Source organism: Homo sapiens, chromosome 2, assembly GCF_000001405.40.
Source record: "Homo sapiens chromosome 2, GRCh38.p14 Primary Assembly".
Taxonomy (NCBI): Eukaryota; Metazoa; Chordata; class Mammalia; order Primates; family Hominidae; genus Homo; species Homo sapiens.
Window position 1 is genome coordinate 169,160,540 of NC_000002.12, and position 18,854 is coordinate 169,179,393.

Consider the following 18,854-nt stretch of genomic DNA (forward strand, 5'->3'; position numbering starts at 1 on the left):
AGAACTAGTATATTAAAAAAGAATTCTATGCCTCAAATTATTAGTCCAGAGAAATAAGACTGAATTCCATGTCACATATTCACTTAATATCTGAAAAGAGAAGCTGCTTCCATACCCGAATTGTTTGTGCTACTTATTTCCTTAAAAAAAAAAAAACCTGCTACTAATTAAATGCCATTTGAAAAGAAAGTACTGTAGTCTATTTTAAGCCACCTATCAGTCTCTGGGAGTCAGAACCCAAACCTGCCATTCAGTTTTGCAAATTCTATCATGTTCAGGCTTTTAAAATATTTTATCAAGTCACTTCATTCTGTCAATAACTCCAAGTCCCACAGAAAACGTATGTGAAATAAATGGCAAGCCAACTCAATATGGCTGGTTATTCATACCTCTTCGTAACTCACGCAGGAGAAAAATTGATAGAAAATCCTTTGGATGCCTCAGGAAAAAGTCAATTAGAGCCCAAGAAGTTGAAAGCACATGGAGCTCACTAGGATGACTAAGTCACAGGCTCCTAGAGTTTGGAGAAGGGCCTCCTTTTTCCTGTGAGGAAACCAAAGACTGGAGAGGTCAGTATGTGCCCAAAGTGGCACAGCTAGTGGCAGGGATCCAGAGGCCAGCCCTCCTAACCTGGACTTACATGACTGCTCCAATTCTGCCTCTGACATTCTGTGTGACCACAAGGAAGTTACTTAAGCTCTCTGAGCTTTATTACATAGACAATAACAGCAACTCAATGGGGCTAACTTGAGTAACACATTAAATAATGTATGTGAAAGCACTTTATGAGTCATAAATGGACTACAAAGGTGTGACTTAGTAACATGTCATTTTAACATTTCCATCAAAATATTGAGCTAGAATTGTTCCTTGGTTATGTTCATCATCCTTTTCCTACACAAAGTGCTCCCTCTACTTTCTTTTTTGTTTGATTGTTTGTTTGTTTGTTTGTTTTGAGACAAGGTCTTGCTTTATTGCCCAGGCTGGAGTACAGTGGCACAATCACAGCTCACTGCAGCCCCTACCTGCACTCAAGCCATCCTTCCACCTCATCCTCTTGAGTATCTGGGACTAGAGGTGCACACCACTACACCCAGCAAATTTTTGTGTATTTTGTTAAGACGGAGTTTCGCCATGCTGCCCAGGCTGTTCCTGAACTCCTGGGCTCAAGAGATTTGTCTGCCTCGGCCTCCCAAAGTGTTGGGATTACAGGCATGAGCCACTGCATCCAGCCACTCCCTCAACTTTAAAAATAAAAATAAATGTCCCTTCCCAGGTCCCCTGTGGCGTTCCCTTCTTGATCAAACACCCTCAGAAGGATTTTCAGGTACCAAGGATACTGCATTTGGCTTAAGATTTTTTTCATGTATATACTTTAAGTTCCAGGGTACATGTGCACAACGTGCAGGTTTGTTACATATGTATGCATGTGCCATGTTGGCTTGCTGCACCCATTAACTCATCATTTACATTAGGTATTTCTCCTAATGCTATCCCTCCCCCATCCTCCCACCATAATGTGCAGACTAATAAACAAAATATGTAGCCTTAAAGTGCTAAGAGGCACCCAGTGGACTGGGAAGAGGACTTGCTCTGCAGTGAAACAGACCAGAGTTCAAATCCTGAGTCAACCTCTTAATGACAGTAAGACCTGGCCAATTCGTTTAACCTCTAAGTTCGTTGCTCATTTGTACATAAGAAAGAGATAATAACATCTAACTCATAAGATTGCTACCAGGCATGTAGAATGTTTGACACAATGTCTGGTCTAGGATAAGCACTCAGTCACAGCTAGCTATGGGCTTGACTGGAATTCAAGCAAAAAGTACATTAAGGAGAAAATGTGGTCAGTGTCTACATTATGTTATTGCATGTTTTAATTAGGTAAACCTGAGTTACTACAATGAACTATAAAAACAAGTGTTTACTTACTGCAACCCAGTTCATCGGACCAGTCACCACAGTCATCGGCATCATCACACACATTGTCATGTGGAATGCAATGCCCATTGCCACACTTATATTCATATTCTGTACAAGGTTTAGGGGTCGGTTTTCTACCTGCAATGTAAAAACAAGTTAAAATCAAAACTTTTTCTTTTATGAAGCAAGATACTTCCTTCTTTGACAGAGACAGTTTGTGCTTACCAAATAAACAAGTGCTTCCCTACATTTCCCAGTCTCCCTTGCAGCTGGGTTAGGACCATGTGACCAGTTCTAGCCAACGTACTGTCAGTTGGAGGTGCCATGTGTCACTACTGGGCTGAAGCAATGAAAAGCACACGTGCCTCCTCCGTGTCTCCTGTGCTGCTGCAGCAACCTTGGAAGCCATGTGTTCCAGGCAGCACAGCTGCAAGATGCAGGAGGGCTGTGAAACCAGCGTTGGCCTTTATGAGTGCTCAATAAGGCTTCATTATGTTACACCCCTGAGATTTCAGGATATGCTGGTTGCAACAGCTAGTATTAATTACTCCGAATAACATAGAGTGATGAGGGAAGTAGAGTACTGCCATAATAAAAACATAAAATATTTGGCATTGGATTAACAGTCAGGAGGCAAGCAACAAGGACACTGATAGTGGAGGCAGGAAAGGTGGAGATCATGTTATGCAAAGTCAAAGCATTTGATAAAGCTATCACCTCGGAAAAACTGGAAGGCAGATCACATGCTTACTGAACCTGTCAATCATGGAGCGAGGTTAGAAGATAGAATGTTAGTAATGTGCATTGATTGCCATTCCTGAGTTTGGCAAGATAGTATAAGAAAGAGAGAACCTAAGGGAAGAACTGGTTACCTTACAAGCAGAAATAAAATAAAGCCCAGAAATTTGCTGTGTGAGAAAAGCCACCTGTATCTACATCCCAAACAGTAAAAGTCTGAAGTTTAAAAGGCTGTGAGACACGAAGGCCCAATAAAACCTCCTCATTGGATAAAATGACTGCCCATCTATTTTTCTACATGGATTGGATGTAAGTGACAATAAGTTCAGACAGAACTCTATGAAGGAAAGAAAGCAAAGAAAAAAGCAGATTTGAGAACTATGTCTCCAAAAGAGCACTAGGTCAGGTTACTAACTTTTAGAACAGGCTAGAAGCAAACAGATCAAATGCCTGGTATGTTTCTGAGAGAAAGATATAACCAAATAAACCAAAATACTATGACTGTTTGAGACTTGGAAAAAAAAACAAAAAACAACTCCTGGGCTCCCGACCTTCTATAAGCAAGAAGTGGGGTGAGAAAGCTGCCGTGCTGGCCCTAATGGTAGCATATTTCCCTTTCCCTCTTCATTTGCAGAGGAAAATAGACAAGAAAAAACTCTCAAAGGGTAGAGTCAGAAACAGTGAGAGACATTTTAACACAGGAGCTCCTCCCAGAGCAGAGGCATGAGCTAATCAATAAATACCCTCCACTCCCCAAAGAAGGGACCTTTACAATGTCTGCCCAGAGTGGCCATGTAATTTACTCTCCTTTCCAAGCCAGTGTGCTTTTGAAAGTGAAGGTGGTGCTATTCATAATTCCACTGGGGCAGCAGACATGAATCAGGACTGTCCTGTGCTAACATGTGTCATCCCAGCCCAGTGGGACTTCAGAATTGCTATACATTGGTGATGGCCATGAGTCTCCAATTCTTTCTTTCCAATGGGAGTGTTTATTTCTATTGTGTTGCCCCTGTTCCGCCAATACCTATCAGGCACAGAAGGCACTGATTGTTTATTAGTTTATGGGTCTCCCAACCAAGAGGAACCACATCTGGAACTGATTGAGTGGCTACTGCCCATTACCCAGAGGTCCTGGATTTCAGTTTCGGAATGGACTATGAGCTATGTCCCTTGGGAAGGGGTTAAGGGTGTTCTGTGTGTGAGAAGAAAATCATAAAGGAGTATTTAGTGACACAAGGGTAAATTGTATGAGAATGCATATTCTTGCATTTTCCAGTCTCCCTTACAGTTAGAGCAGGGCCACGTGACTGGTTCTGACCAATGGACTATGAGCAAGAGGATGTCTGTCATTTCCAGGCTCAGGAAGTTAAGAAGCTGTGTGCCTCCACCATGTTGATCTTCTCCTGCCTTGGCAACCTTGAATGTGTCCCTGATGGCATAATTATGGGATGGAGGAGGGTTGCTTGACTGTCATTAAACTTTACATGAGCAAGAAATGAACCTTTGCCATTTTAAGCCATTGAAATGTTGCAGGTTGCTTCCTGTGGTGACTGGTAGTGGTCTCCCAGACTAAAACCCTGTTCCTTGAAAAGAATAGAAGTTTATGGATTCTTTTTTCCACTCTGGGATTTGACCATGTGCTACAAATGTCTTGCTCCATTTTTTAAAAAATGGCATTTTTAGCAGGGGAAATGGAAAGAGATTTTGGGGAAGGGGGAAATCTGCTCAAATTCTTTAAAAATATTTTATTTCTGGGCTTTCATGCTTTTGCGCTATGCCTCAAATAAACATATTAATGCTATAATGTATTAATGCTATCTCTGCCAGTAATAATGATAACAGGAATACGAACTTGAAGGTTGTGGTAGTGTCAAAGTCCTCCCTGACAGTCTCCTCTGGGATGGGGGCTGGAAGTAAGCATTCTGTGGCAAAGCGTTCTAAGACCACATCAATACAAGAAATAGAAAGTGGAGAAATCAGGCATTTATCTTAATTTTCCCAGATAATGTCTTTTTGGGGAAAAAAATAATTGGAGTCGGGGAAATGATTTTCCTCACTGACATTTTCTAGGCAAATTAAATTGCCCAGAAAATTGGTCAACTTTCCCCTTCAATGGATAGATTTTAAAACATTTTGAAAGTGCAGAAAAAGTACAGCTATTTCAATGCCTCGATTGTTAAATGCAGCCAGTTTGGAACTTCTATCTTAAACTAATCTATCACTTTTCTCTTCTGGGAAATGAACTTTCATTTTCAACAAGGATATTAGATAAGCTCTGTTAACACCAGTGCTGCCTTGCTTCACATGATCTCTGCAGCTGGGCACCTGCCTAGATTAGCAATTAGCAACTCCTGAAGGCTGAAGGATGATCAAATCTCATATTTGAAAAAATAAACTATTAATTTGCGAGGTGTGGCTCAATCAGTATTTAGTGTTTGTTCTCAGTTTCTTATGAGAAAAGAGGAGGGGAAGGCTTATTAAATGTTCAAACAAAGACTGAAAAATTAATGGATTTGCCAGCATCATGCTCAAATGAGACAGGAAGAAACAGGCAGGGTTACATGTAAGCAATGCATGTGTTTGCATGGTCTTGTAAACAATTATGTCAGCAGAGATCTGCAGTCATGGGCACAACTCTATAGAACAAACTGAAATCCCAGAGGCACATTTTCCAAACTGCAGACCACTTGGGGTCCTTCCTTTTTCCTTCTCCCTTTTGACTTTTGCTTACAGTGCTCCTCTGTCTCATCAGTTCCATCTCCACAGTCATCCACACCATTGCACACCTCATGACTATAAATGCAGCGATTGTTGTCACACCGGAAACGGTTTGGTGAATTACAGGGAACATCCACTGAAAGGAAAGATAGAAAAATGAAATTACAAGTTAACAGTAGAATCTAAGTGTCAATATCTAAAATACTCCAGTGTCAGCACCAGGCTTGCTTCATTCATGCACTCATTTACTCATTTGATTAATCAATCAGCAGATACACCTTACATGTATAGTACACACCAAGGCACTGTGCTAGGCAGTAGATATGATGGGAAACAAGAAAGACACAGTCCTTGTCCTCATGGAACTTTCATTCTAGTAGAGAAACAGGCTTTTCAAATTAACCATTCAATTACAACTATGAAACATCTACTGGGGTGATCTGACTTAAGTTAGGGAGAGGAAGGCTTGGAAGAAACTTCCCATAGATTCTGAGTCAGAGAGGAGGATGGCAGGTCTCTGGACCTGAATAAAGGCCTCGGTGGCTGGAGCATGGATCGTGGAGCACAATGGTGGCTGTGAGGCTGGACAGACTGGCAGTACATGGACTCTTATCCTAACAGCCAGGAAGCCATTTGTTTGATCCTCCTGATGGCAGTTGTCATAGAGTCTCTACCGCATGAGTCTTTTATTGAAGCTTTAAATTGTGTTGGATTTTCCTTCCTGAATTCCCTCACCTCTTACATTTAAAATCGATATCTCACAATCAAACCCTGACACACTTGCTGTCCAGAGTGAGACCTCTAGCTGCTGCCTGTACAGATGTGAGGAACTCAAGGGTAGTCCCCAGGTCCCCTACTTGTTTGGTACAGGGAACATGGTTCACTATGCGTGTACCACAAATGCAGTGAACTCAACATACATGTGGTCTTCACATGTGGTCTGTCTTTCACATGGAGGATTTGGGCTGTCTGATTTTCCTTCCGCCTTGGTATCACACACAGGGATCAAGAGGAGAGACTTATAATAAGATTGGTTGAGGGGAAAGGGTCAGATCTAAGGGCTGATTCTTGGAAGTATTGTTAATAGAACTATTGCAATAATTATTTGCTGTGAAAGGCAAGTTCAATATTATAAAACAGTATTGGAAACCTTTTAATGTAGCTGTGTCTCTGACTCTCCAAAGTTTATTTTTACTAGCTATGGGCATTTTACCTTATGGAGAGAAGAGATTTCCTAAGGACTTCTTTGAAAGTTAAACATGTCTAAGATGTGTCTCAAGATTCATGAAGTTCAAAGCAAAACAAGGCTAGTTCCTAACAAGTAAAGAAAAATGTTGGGATGCAACTGTGAAATATAATGAACACTAATTAAAGTTTTCTGAGGAGAAACAAAATACTAAGATATATCATCTTCACAAGTCAAATCTCTGGGCTAAAAATGAGTAGTGATGAAGCTGGGAAAGGGGATGGAAGATGCAACGTGAACTTCCAACAGGAGTGCTTCTCCAGGTCTTGTCTCCTAGGTTAAGGGCTTTTACTTACACAAAATCCTGACACTTTAGTTTGCATCAGAATCATTTGAGGGGCCTGTTAATGTATAGATTGCTGGGCCCTTAATTTTCCCACAAAATTAAGGCCACTTTGGGGAAAGAGCTCAAAAAGCAGGGTCTTTGAGTTAATGCCTTTCCTTCCTCTACTTCTTTTGGTCTTGATTTTTAATTTCTATTTGGATAGGGTGCATCCCATGAATTTGCATTTCTAACATATTCCCAAGTGGCACTGACATTCCTAGTCCAGGTAAGACACTTTTGAGAACTATTACCCTAGAGTTCCTCCAATGACTCAAAGCATGTAGCAAAATGACTGCAACAAACTCTATTTACGTTCACTTCATTAAAATCAGTAGTTCTCAACCAGGGGACTAAACTAAAAGGCTAAGAAGCCTTTTAAAAATACGTATGTGCAGGCTTCATTCTTGGAGATTCTGCTCCATCAGGTCTAAGCCTAGGGTGAGGCCAGGGCATGTGATTTTGAAATACCCCTCCTCCTCTGCTACTGACATGTACCTGAATTGAGACTCACAAACAAGCAGGGTTTAAAATATATATATATATATATATATATATATGCATCATTCAGCAAGAGGGAATTAGATGGCCTTGAATTACCATGTTAAAAGGAAGTGACTGTAAAGATTAAGAAAGTCTTAGCATTTTCTAAAGGTGCTCCAGGAAGCTCTAGGGGTTTGGAGAGGGTACTTCAGGGGCACCCAAAGTAGGATACAGCAGGAGAGGTACAGCCTCCTCCCTACCCTTCCTCAGACTTCAACCACAACAGACCTGCCTTTATTTATGCATACTAGGTTTTCAAGCAACATTTCCCTTAAAGACATTGTTTTCTAAGGCCATAATACATTTAAAAACATGGAGGTTTTCCCAACTTTCTCAGGTTACAGAGAGAACTGAAGCTGGAAGACCCAGTGAAATAACACCAACGCTGATCCTGTGTCCATTCCTAAACAATTGTACAACTGCTCTCCAGGCTCACATGCTACACGTAAGAAACAATGAGATTTGACAGACAACACCACTCCCATTCACTCCGTTTCTCTCCCTCTTACAGCACAGGTGAAGTTCTTCATCTGAACCATCGCCACAGTCATCATCGCCATCACATTTCCAATATGGCGGGATACAAACATGGTTTTTGCATTCGAACATAGTAGCCTGGCAGTATGCACCATCAGGAAAGCGTGTGGCTGCCATGGGGGAAAAAAACATATTCAAATTATTATACAAATTGACTACTTTGGGGAAGCTTCCTGCTATTTCTCCTTTGGCTCTTGCCATTATAGCCTGCTCTTCTTTATTCATCAAGATGTATAGTGGCCTTGACCTGTCTGAAAGTTGAACGGACTATGTCTTAAGGGCAGTTGTCAGAGCCCAGTCAGTTTCCAATGGCATGAATCATCCATGGCATGGACAGCACTGGACTTAATCTCTACAGGCAAATGTCAAGACTGGTTTTACCCACATACATTTATAAAGTCTCTTTGGCAACCACATCATCAACGATAACCATCATGGATGGTTATCATGGATGATGGTTATTGTTGATGGATCAGCAATAATGATGTATAAACAGTTTGCATTGATTCAAGTGATCCATAAAGACTCAAATCTGAGTAATCATGTTGGCTTTCCAGTTTTTGTAGGGAAAAGAAAGATCAGACAGTTACTGTGTCTATGTAGAAAAGGAAGACATAAGAAACTCCATTTTGATCTCTCTCAGTCTTCTCAGTCTCTCATCCCACCTGAGGAGAAATACCTACAGGTGTGGAGGGGCTGGCCCCCTTCAAGTTTTAATCATTTTTATACTCCATCGTGTGACTGAGAAAAATTTTAATGCTATAAATTCAATATGTTCGAATACCCAACCCAAGTTCTTTATACTAATGTATTCGTTGCTTGAATATTTTTTTACCTGAAATGTTTTTTATCTAATTAATGATTTGTATAGTAGCTGATAATATATAAATACTTTGTTAGCACAGATTACTTAATATATTCTCCATTTAAAATAGCAAGGAAGTACACTTGAACGGCCATTGTGAAATGTATGATTATGATGACTTAGAACTCAGGTGAACTGATCATTATCAGTGCATGCTGAACAGACAATACTTATGGCCTTTTAATCTAAGAAGCGGCAGCGGACTGATGTCTAAACTATCATATCCATGCTCTCAGGTAAGCAGTACTACATATGTGTCTAGGGACTTACGACAATCAGCTTCATCAGACGCATCCAAACAGTCAGCGGATCCATCGCATTTCAGTTCACTGTGTACACAATGTCCACTTGTACACTGAAAATATTCAGGATGGCAGGTCCTCATCTCTGAAGAGAAAAGATTGTCATTCCGAGAAGGCCTTGTCATTTTCAGACAGATATTAGGTACCTGGAGTATAGTGGTTACTCCATCACATTCCTATCTACACCCTGTGACTGGCTCACAGCAAACCCACAACTTGTGGTTAGCAAATTAATACATTCTCAAAACTCACACTTTCCCCACTCAACATACAGAGATGGAAGTACCTAGCTCCCTAATATTAAATAATCTCCAGCTCTTAAGCTTTTCCTCAGAAATCGGAATTCCCCAATCTTCAATGTTTTCTAATTTTCCTAAGACCCAACACCAAATCAGTAAAGAGCTATAAAAATTACTTTGGGTTTAGGATTACTCTGTCAATGATCTGATCTCTACACAAGAGAGTCATAGGAGCACATGCATATTCCTTAGGGTGACTTTCCGTGGAATAGTAGCAAGATCAATGTCTTTGTTTACAAGGCTAACGCAGATTAAAATCTGCTCCTAAGAAGTGTTGATATTAAAATTAAATGTTTAAAATTCCTTGCTATTTTCCTCAATTATGACTAATCTAGACTGCTATGAGTTAAGAATAATGCATAGAAAATACAGAGCAGAAGATACTGTGTTATGCTAAGGTTTACATATTACACATATACAAAAATAATTTTCCTCTAAAAGCCTTATAAACACTAATTTGAAGCCCCTACACTGTCACAGTACAAAATTCTATGGTAAGCTTCTCAAATGACAGTTACCACAGTCCCGTTCATCTGAGTTGTCCCCACAGTCGTTGTAATGGTCACAGATCCATCGCGAGGGAATGCACTGCTGATTGACACATCGAAACTCGCTCTCTGTGCACTCCCGGGGAGCTGGAAAGGAAAGGCACCTGGCCATGAGTGTGCACCAGGAATCACATACAGGAGACATCTTGTGAGCTGACCATAGTGCCCTGGGTGCCCAGCACCCTCCTGTGTCCCAAGCCCCAGAGGTGTGCTTGGGCAAATCATTCACCCTCCAAAACTAGACCTTTCACCTTAATTTTGAGTCTGTAAAGAATGGCCTTTATTAAGAAGTTTGTCCAAAGGTGATCTGATCTCTCTTTCTCTCTTGCTCTCTCTCTCTGTTTTTTTTTTTTTTTTTTTTTTTGAAACAGGATCTTTCAACATTGCCCAGGCTGACTTTGAACTCCTGGTCTAAAGTAATCCTCCCTGCTCAGGCTCCTGCGTAGCTGGGACTGCAGGTGTGTTCCACCATGCCCAGCTTGATTTTATCTTAATTTTTTCTATTTCGTGAAACTCTAGATAACCTCTTATAGGATTCAACATTGACTTTTATTAATAAAAGACAAAATGCCAATTGGATTACCCTTTTGTATAAGTTTTTAGCTAACTGATATTTGCAGGTGTAGTCAGCTTCCTAAATCTCTCATTGCTTATCGCAAGTGGTGATCACTTTTTTCTTCCAAAAGGTAAACAAAGTTAGAATGTGTTTCATTAGTCAATTAGAAATTGACGCATATCATGGGTCAGTGATATACACTCTGGGCAGGGCTTCATTAAGCTTGTTTTCAGAACACACATTGAGTGTGTTCTGACCATCTAATTTGATATGATCTCAGCCTCTTGGCTTCCTTTCCTCAACCTCCCTATCCAATGCCTTGTAGTCAATACCTTCGACTGGGAGAGAGAAACTAAAACCTGTCCTGTTAATTAACTGTTAGCCCTCCTAAAATAGTCAACTATTCTAGGAAGGGTAATAATGCAAACACAAGTTCTCTCTCCTCTCCTATGAAGGCCATTTTGGGGAAAGAGCTTAAGAAGCAGTGTCTCTGGGTTAGCACCCTTCCTCCCTCTACTTCTCTGGTCCTGGTTTTCTATTTCTATTCTATTTATCTTATTACATTTTTCCTTTATCATAAGTCACCTCAACTTCTTTTGGAAAAAAAAGTTGGATGTAAATAAATTCAACACATAAAAGATATTCTTCAGTAAATACCTTCCTCCAAAAGCTTGATTTGAAACATCTCAGAAGGAGATGCTTATGTCTTTAGTGGAAGAGAAAGTAGAAATGTACTGACCAGCAGAAAGAAAGAGATCAGACAGCTTGATATCATCCTACCCATTGAGGATCAATGACATAGACAGTTGAATTATGGACAAAAAGCAAACATCACAGCTCTGGTGGTATATAAGGACCATAGGACTGTGAACACTCACCACAGTTTTCCTCATCTGAGTTATCTCCACAGTCATTTTGCCCATCACACTGCCAACGAAGAGGGATGCAGTGGTGATTTTTACAGCGGAAATCCCCCACAGGATGGCATGTCCTCTCCTCTGCAAAGCAGTCATTGCAAAGACTTCATAAACCATTGGCAGAGAAATGCACAAAGTAGTATTGGCTTCCTTGTGAGACAGTCTGAGAATTGTATTAGCTCACTCTTGAAGCTCCCAAAGAGAGGAATGCCAGCAACATTCATGGTCAACATTCCCTCTTTTAGCTACCCTGAGCCTATCCTACCACTTGAAACTCGATCCATTCCCATTGGTAGAAACCATGCAAAGAATGAAATGGTATCTGGTTTGTAATTTGCAACAAAGGCCTGGTATGGGAGGCTAAAATGATGCCATAATAAATAAATATTTTGATCATATTATCTTCAGTCAATTGGACTCAGTGTTCTTAAAAGAATTTAGTATCTTCCTTACTTCTCTTCCAACTAAACCCAACACACATACTCCAGATGCTTTGGTTTCAAGTTAGACTATGACTAATCTTGACAAATTCCATTAATTTATCTGGCTTTCCCATGTTACCAGAGAGACTACAGATGTCCAATAGATAACAGGGAAAATCAGAGAGACATTCAGAATATGAAAATCCCCAAATAAGAAATATCCTAATTTGGAAATATCCTTTTTAGAGATAGATACGAAGTCTTTTCTCTAACCCCTTTCCACCAATTTCAACCAATTTATAAAATTAGAGAAACAATTTAAACTTGTCAAGTATGAATAAGGATTCTACATTTGGAAGAAATTACACAAGTTTCTAACATCTTAATAACGTCTTCCTCAATGACAGCATGACTTAAAGTGCTACAAATTAAATACCCCTGGTAACCCTGCAAAATGCTACAAAAATGTAACATGTTATTAGAAGAATCAACCATTTTTTTACAGAGGTAAACAAAGAAAAGATGACATGGGAAATACACTCTCATCTCTCATCTAATAAATGGCACTTGACATGTGCACTTTCTTGTCCCTCCCTCCACTCCCCTGTGGCCCCTCCTACCACAGCCTTGCTCATCACTGTTGTCCCTGCAGTCATCTACACCATTGCACACGGCCCACTTTGGGATGCAGCGGTAATTTGTTTTGCAGCTGAATTCTGTGAAGTTGTCACAGAGATGGGCAGAGCTCACTGAAAAGGGAGGAGGCATCAAAGTCAGAACTGAAGGTACAAGAAAGCACCTTTCCATTGTCACATTGAGGTTGTGGTACTGAGGAATAACAATGACCATGTTACCAAGCAAACCGCCTCTGGCGATATGTGTCTGTTTTAGATGTGATCTGTTTACCATGAGCAGAAAAATAGTCCTAAGTTTTCTCAATATGTCAGCACCACTCATTTGTTTTACAGTATAACTTTGTGGGTGGGGTTGGGGAAGGACAGGGTTTGAAGTAAAAAACCTGGGTTGAAGTGTTAGGTCTGACACTAAACAGTAATGTAACCATCCACTTAATGTGAACCTCAGTTTCCTCATCTGTAAAATGGAATTGGTTCACACCCACCTTCCCTACCTCATAACATTTCTCTGTGGCTCAAGTGAGAAAGCAGTAGATATATAAAATATAAGTTCTTGGTATCATATTCTGGTTGGTTAGACATTCTATGTATCAAAAGGAGGTATTAGCCACTTCAGAAACAGAGTCTGGTTCCACCTGCAAGCCACACAGCTATACTCTGCCTTGCAGTGCCAGAGTTTGCAGGGAGTGCCAAGGGGGAGCATCCCATCAGCTGAAAAAGAAAGCTCCATGTCCTCTCTCAGTCCCCATGGAAGTTTCCTCGTGTCTCCCTGCTCTGGTCATGCCTTGGTCCTCCCACAGGAACTTACTGCATTCTTCAATGGGCTCATCCGAGTGGTCTCCACAATCATTATCCACATCACACTTCCAGGCCTGCGGGATGCAGCGGCCATTAGCACACCGAAACTGGCCCGGCCGGCAGGTCCTGCTGGCACAGTGGGAACTGTCTTCATCTGAGTTATCCTCACAGTCGTTAAATGTGTCACACTGCCAGGATTCTGGGATGCAACGTTTGTTGGCGCACTGCCATTCATTGGAGTCACAGTGGTGATTCTCTGAGAGCAGGGACATTTGGTTATCAGCTTGGAAGGCATCAAGAATGAAAGCTCCTAATTGACATCAGTGAATCCTGGATAGCAGGATCATGATTTCTTTTTAGAGGACTTATTTCCTAATGTACTTATCAGTCAGTACTACTACATGGAGCACTTCTTCTTTTGACTATTACTGTCTCCCAAATTCTTAAATATCTCTTTATTGCATACAGACTTAAGAGATAAGAACTGAACACCCTGACCTGTTAAGCATACCTTCCTCTGTCCCTATTCTCCTACTGGAAAATAGTCTTCAAACTTTGTGTTTGTTACTGTTATTGATGTGTTGTTTTTAGTTTGGGGGAATTTTATTTTGTGCCTATTTGATTATTTATTTATTTTCTTGAGACCAAGTGAGTGCAGTGGCACGATCTCGGCTCACTGCAGCCTCAACCTCCAGGATCAAGCTATTTTTCTACTGCAGCCTCCCAAGTAGCTGGGATTACAGGCACATGCCACCATGCCAGGCTAATTTTTTGTATTTTTTGTAGAGACAGGCTTTTGCCATGTTGCCTAGGCTGGTGTTGGACTCCTGGGCTCAAGCGATCGACCTGCCTCAGCCTCCCAAACTGTTGGGATTACAGGCATGAGCCACTGTGCTCAGTCTTTTTTTTTTTTTTTTGCCTTTTAAATGGAAACATAAATAAATATGACAACTGAGAGTCCCTGTTAAAAATGGGGGTGGAAACCTCTCGTTTCCTCCTCAATGTTAGCTCTCAAAGGGGATTCAATGCCCAGCACATGGTGAAGAGCCACCAGTAGAGACAACTTATTGTCTACTTCAACCATTTGCCTTGTAAAAACCTTAAGATTTCTAAAAAAAAAAAAAAAAAAACTTCATAAAAATAGAAAAAGGATGGAGCCTGAGTTTCCTTCTAGGACTTTGAACTGGTTTTTAGTTCATGATATTCAGGAAATACCCACAGAATCATGATCGTATACAATCAACATAGAAGTCGGAAAAAGAGGCATAAAGCGACTCAACACACCACAAAGAAGACGGTCTTCATCAGACCCATCAGGGCAATTTTGGTGAGCATTGCATAAAGTCTGCGGGCTGGTGCAGTTGCCGTCACTGCACTGGAACTGTCCCAGTCGGCAGAAGCGCTGCGGGCAAAGGGCCAGTTCATCAGAGCCATCTGAGCAGTCTTTCTGTCCATCACATTTCCACCAGATAGGAATGCACCTGCACAGAGAACATACAGCACTTCTTTAGCAAAGCACCAGGGGCAACAGTTATCTGGAGAGAAGAAGTCAACACTGAATTCCAAGAAATGACATGCATGAGCTCTCTCGTGGCCCTAGAAGAGGATCAATTAAATCTCAGTTACAATGGTGTATTTTCAGAGAAAACATAACTTGGCAAGATAGAACAGGTTTCTTAAGATCCAAATACAAACTGAAAATGTGCTCTTAATATGATGAATAAATTTCCTCCACAAAAAAAAAACAATAAACAAATAAAGAGTGGGTGTTTTGAGCTGTGTTCTAGGAGCAGTGATTGGTTGAGATTGTCTGCCAGGGTGATATAAAAGTATTGTTTGGGAAGTTGGAGGGCAATAAAAACTGTTGAGGGTCTTTCTCACGATAAATGTATGCTAGATTCTTAATCTCAGATATCTTATTTAATCACTACAATCGTCTACCTCTGCATCTTAGATGCTATGATCTGCATTAATGCCTCTCTCCATGCCACTCTCTAACTCAGGTCCCCTAGTTATCAATGGGCCTGTGGACATTGTTAAGAAAATAATCTGTGGCCATGTTTCATAGCAAACACAAATGATCAAAAATGGATTTGAATGTGTAACCCTGGATCCCCTAGCATAGGCAGCTAAGGAGCTAGGCCGGCATAGACATGGAAAAGACAGTGAAATTCTATTACTTCTAGGGACAATTTTTCAGTATGTACTTATATACACTCTGGCTCCAATACTTAAGACAATTAGAAATGAGAAATATATGGTTTGCTTCCTTTCTATGAAAGTTTGCATATATAGGCATAACAGTTTGGTTAGCAAGCTCCTTCTATTCATGGAAAATATTATCTGAAGTTGGAGGCTGAGAGTCTTGCTGTGTTCCACATGAACCAAGTTAATTAACCAAAATCTTGTCTCACTAGAAAACTCCCATCCCTTGGAGCCTTGAAGGTCAATGTCTGTCCACGGGCTAGAGAGGCACTGAGGAGAGGGGAAAGAGAGCCTTACTTTTCATTGTTAGCGCACAGGAACTGGGTGCTGGAGCACATGGGCATGCAGTAGGTGCTGCCACTCAGCTGAAGGGTGCGGAAGTCATCTGGACACTCGCAAGTGAACCCTTTTCCTCCTGGCTTGATGAGGCAGAGATGAGAACAGCCACCATTGTTGGTACCACAGGGATTGCTCACTAGTGGAAAAGGAAGAAAATATGTGTTCATTTGCTGAAAGAGAGTATCAAGCACAGATTAGCTGATTACACATCTTGACTTTAAACTCATCACCTCTTAGTAAAAAAAAAACTATCCTAGATTTATGATTTTCCCAAAAGTTCCTAAATAAAACAGATGATAGAGTTATACAAGCAACAACCCTGTGCTTTAAGAAAGCTCATTTATATGCTACCAGAAGTGAGCTATACCCACTGGTGTTTCTGACTAGAAAAGATGTGTTTCTCCAAGTCCTGGGAAAGCAGGCAGTAAACTTAGCTTATGTTCATTTGCCTAGACCTAGGTTAAAGTTTTAATTTCCAACAGATGCTATATTCATTCCCTCATTCTAAGTATACAGGTAACAAGTTTGGCCAAAAATAATGTGGATGAATAAACTGAGCAGCATCTTTACTAATTTTCCTGGTCACCACTTTGAGGTGAATATTTGCTTGAACTTCTAATAAAAATGATATGAAGAATATTAACTTCCAGAAAGAAATACTAAATTTCTTTATTTTGCTAATTCTCATTTTTCCTTAATTCCAAGTTTATCATATGTTTTAGCAAGACATCACAACAAAGCAGACCCACAAAAACCAGTCTATCCCCAAAATATATTTCAGACCTTTATCTTTATTTCAGACTCTAAATCATAAAGTTGCTTTAATTGCATAAAAGGAATATAAGTTCACAATCAAATAAAAACAAGTTCTCTTACTTAAAAAACACTAAAACGCACTGCTCTTGACATTATCTTCTAGAAGATAAGAATAATATCTAATTTATACACAATACAATATCATATGCATTTATTTAGTATTTAGTATTTAGGGCTGAAATGCCATATTTTTAATTCCTTTAAAATACTTCAGTCTTCCCATAGAAATAGATGAAGTAAATATGGCAACATGATAACTGTTAAATCTTATCAAAAACAAAGGAAAAAAAAAAAGATGATCTTGAAGAATTGAGCGAGTTTTAAGAAGATGAAGAGTTCTAGGTAGTCTTTCCCAGGGGAAGGGGGATAAACTCTAAAGATATTTGCCTACTGTCAACTTTCAGCATATGCTTTGAAGAAAACACTAACAAGTGCAACAAACTTTTTGTAAATCACGAAGTTCATGCTTAAAGACAATCATGACATGCACATAACCCAAGGCAACCTTGCCAAACCCCTCAATCACCTACTCACCAATGGGCTGCCTATATGGATGGTACACATGGATGTCAAATGGTCTGTGTGTTGTGTTCACCAGTGTCTGTCTATTTGATCCATCATATTTGTTTCCCTTTTCCACTGTCCTTGTATTCCAATCTGTCCAATAAATAGTGTCTTCAAAAATGGTAATAGCGAAAGGGTGAGGCAGTGCCCCATCATACACCGTGTGTCGATGGTGGCCCTCCAAATCAGAGTACCTGCAGCAGTAAGCAGAAACAGTTATGTGATAAAGGTAATTCCTCTCCTCTAATGTCTTGCAGGATAAAAGAATTCACAAATCAATAAAATTCTACCTCCTAGAGATAATATAAGTTCAGATCCTCAAAACTCCTAGTCTTTAATTAAAACAAAAATTAAACTTAAAGGATGAATTCAAATTGAACAAAAGATGTAGAAGTGAAAAAGCAATACTTAACAAAATAGGAATAGTGTCAGGAGTTTAAATAATCACTAATTCCTAACCACAGCTGCTTTCCTGCGGATGAAGCTGTTATAGCTGTTGTAGGTTTATGGCCTCTTATAGTGATGTTCCTCATTAAGCACCCTTTTGATATCCTGGGGTGAACACCATTCTTGTTTCTTCCAACACCATTGGAAGAAATCAGAAGATAGCAATATTATACTGGAATTCTACCTTCTCATTAACATTCCGGAGGGGACGTTATTCTAGGAGATAGTTGCATTCTCAGTATAACCTGAGGGGAACACAACTTACAGGCCTGCAGGGTTAACTTTGCAAACACCAGCAGGACATTTATTATTAATCGTGCCATGGCACCATTAGCGAATACTTTTACAGATGAATAAACCTCCAGAGAAGGTTCTCCGATTTCAAGATGTTACAAAGGATCCACAGCCAAATTCCCAAGTCCTCTCAGTTCCAAGGGCTTTCATTACTGTGGGTCTATATCAGAAATCATTTCTAAAATAGTGAAAATTTAATATTTTAAAAATTTGGAACAGATCCTAAAACTCAAACAGGAGATAGAACAAGCTAGCAACTAAGAAACCTGATAATGTTAGCCATGCAATGTTAAAAATATTTCCCAAAATATAATTTATGGTAACTTATAAAAGTCATAGGAAAACTTGAAGATGTGCTTGGCCTTTGTTGATAAGGATGCAGGTAAATGACCAGAAATTAGTCACCATCTGATTTATTTATTTATTTATTTATTTATTTATTTATTTATTTATCTAGAGATAGTCTGACTCTGTTGCCCAAGCTGGAGTACAGTTGCACAATGTTGGCTCACTGCAACCTCCTCCTCCTGGGTTCAAGTGATCCTCCCACCTCAGTCTTCTGAGTAGCTGGGACAGGCAGGTGCCAGCACATCCAGCTAATTTTTGTAATTTTTGTAGAGACAGGGTTTCGTCATGTTGCCCAAGCTGGTCTTGAACTCCTGAGTTCATGCAATCTGCCCTGCTCAGCCTCCCAAAGAGCTGGGACTATAAGTGTGAGCCACTGCACCTAGCCACCATCTGTTTTTCTAAAAAAATCATAGACCAGAAAGTAGTCCTGAGACCTTCCCTTCCAGTTCATCTGTAATCTCTGTAGAGAGAT

General features: G+C 40.2%; 1 protein-coding gene across 4 annotated transcripts in view; it reads right to left on the bottom strand.

Annotated features, from left to right (window-relative positions):
- LRP2 (LDL receptor related protein 2) overlaps window positions 1–18,854 on the bottom strand; it is a 235,426-nt gene that overhangs the window by 33,431 nt on the left and 183,141 nt on the right. For 3 of the 4 annotated variants that reach the window (NM_004525.3, XM_047444340.1, XM_011511184.3), the window contains 11 exons: window positions 17,264–17,487; window positions 15,872–16,049; window positions 14,654–14,850; window positions 13,380–13,625; window positions 12,557–12,685; window positions 11,476–11,595; window positions 10,012–10,128; window positions 9,163–9,279; window positions 8,000–8,137; window positions 5,393–5,515; window positions 1,933–2,061 (listed from right to left, as the gene is read on the bottom strand). In NM_004525.3, coding sequence (NP_004516.2) covers window positions 1,933–2,061; window positions 5,393–5,515; window positions 8,000–8,137; window positions 9,163–9,279; window positions 10,012–10,128; window positions 11,476–11,595; window positions 12,557–12,685; window positions 13,380–13,625; window positions 14,654–14,850; window positions 15,872–16,049; window positions 17,264–17,487 — 1,718 coding nt within the window. The remainder of the gene's footprint in view (window positions 1–1,932; window positions 2,062–5,392; window positions 5,516–7,999; window positions 8,138–9,162; window positions 9,280–10,011; window positions 10,129–11,475; window positions 11,596–12,556; window positions 12,686–13,379; window positions 13,626–14,653; window positions 14,851–15,871; window positions 16,050–17,263; window positions 17,488–18,854) is intronic. The other variant, XM_011511183.4, reaches the window with a different exon arrangement.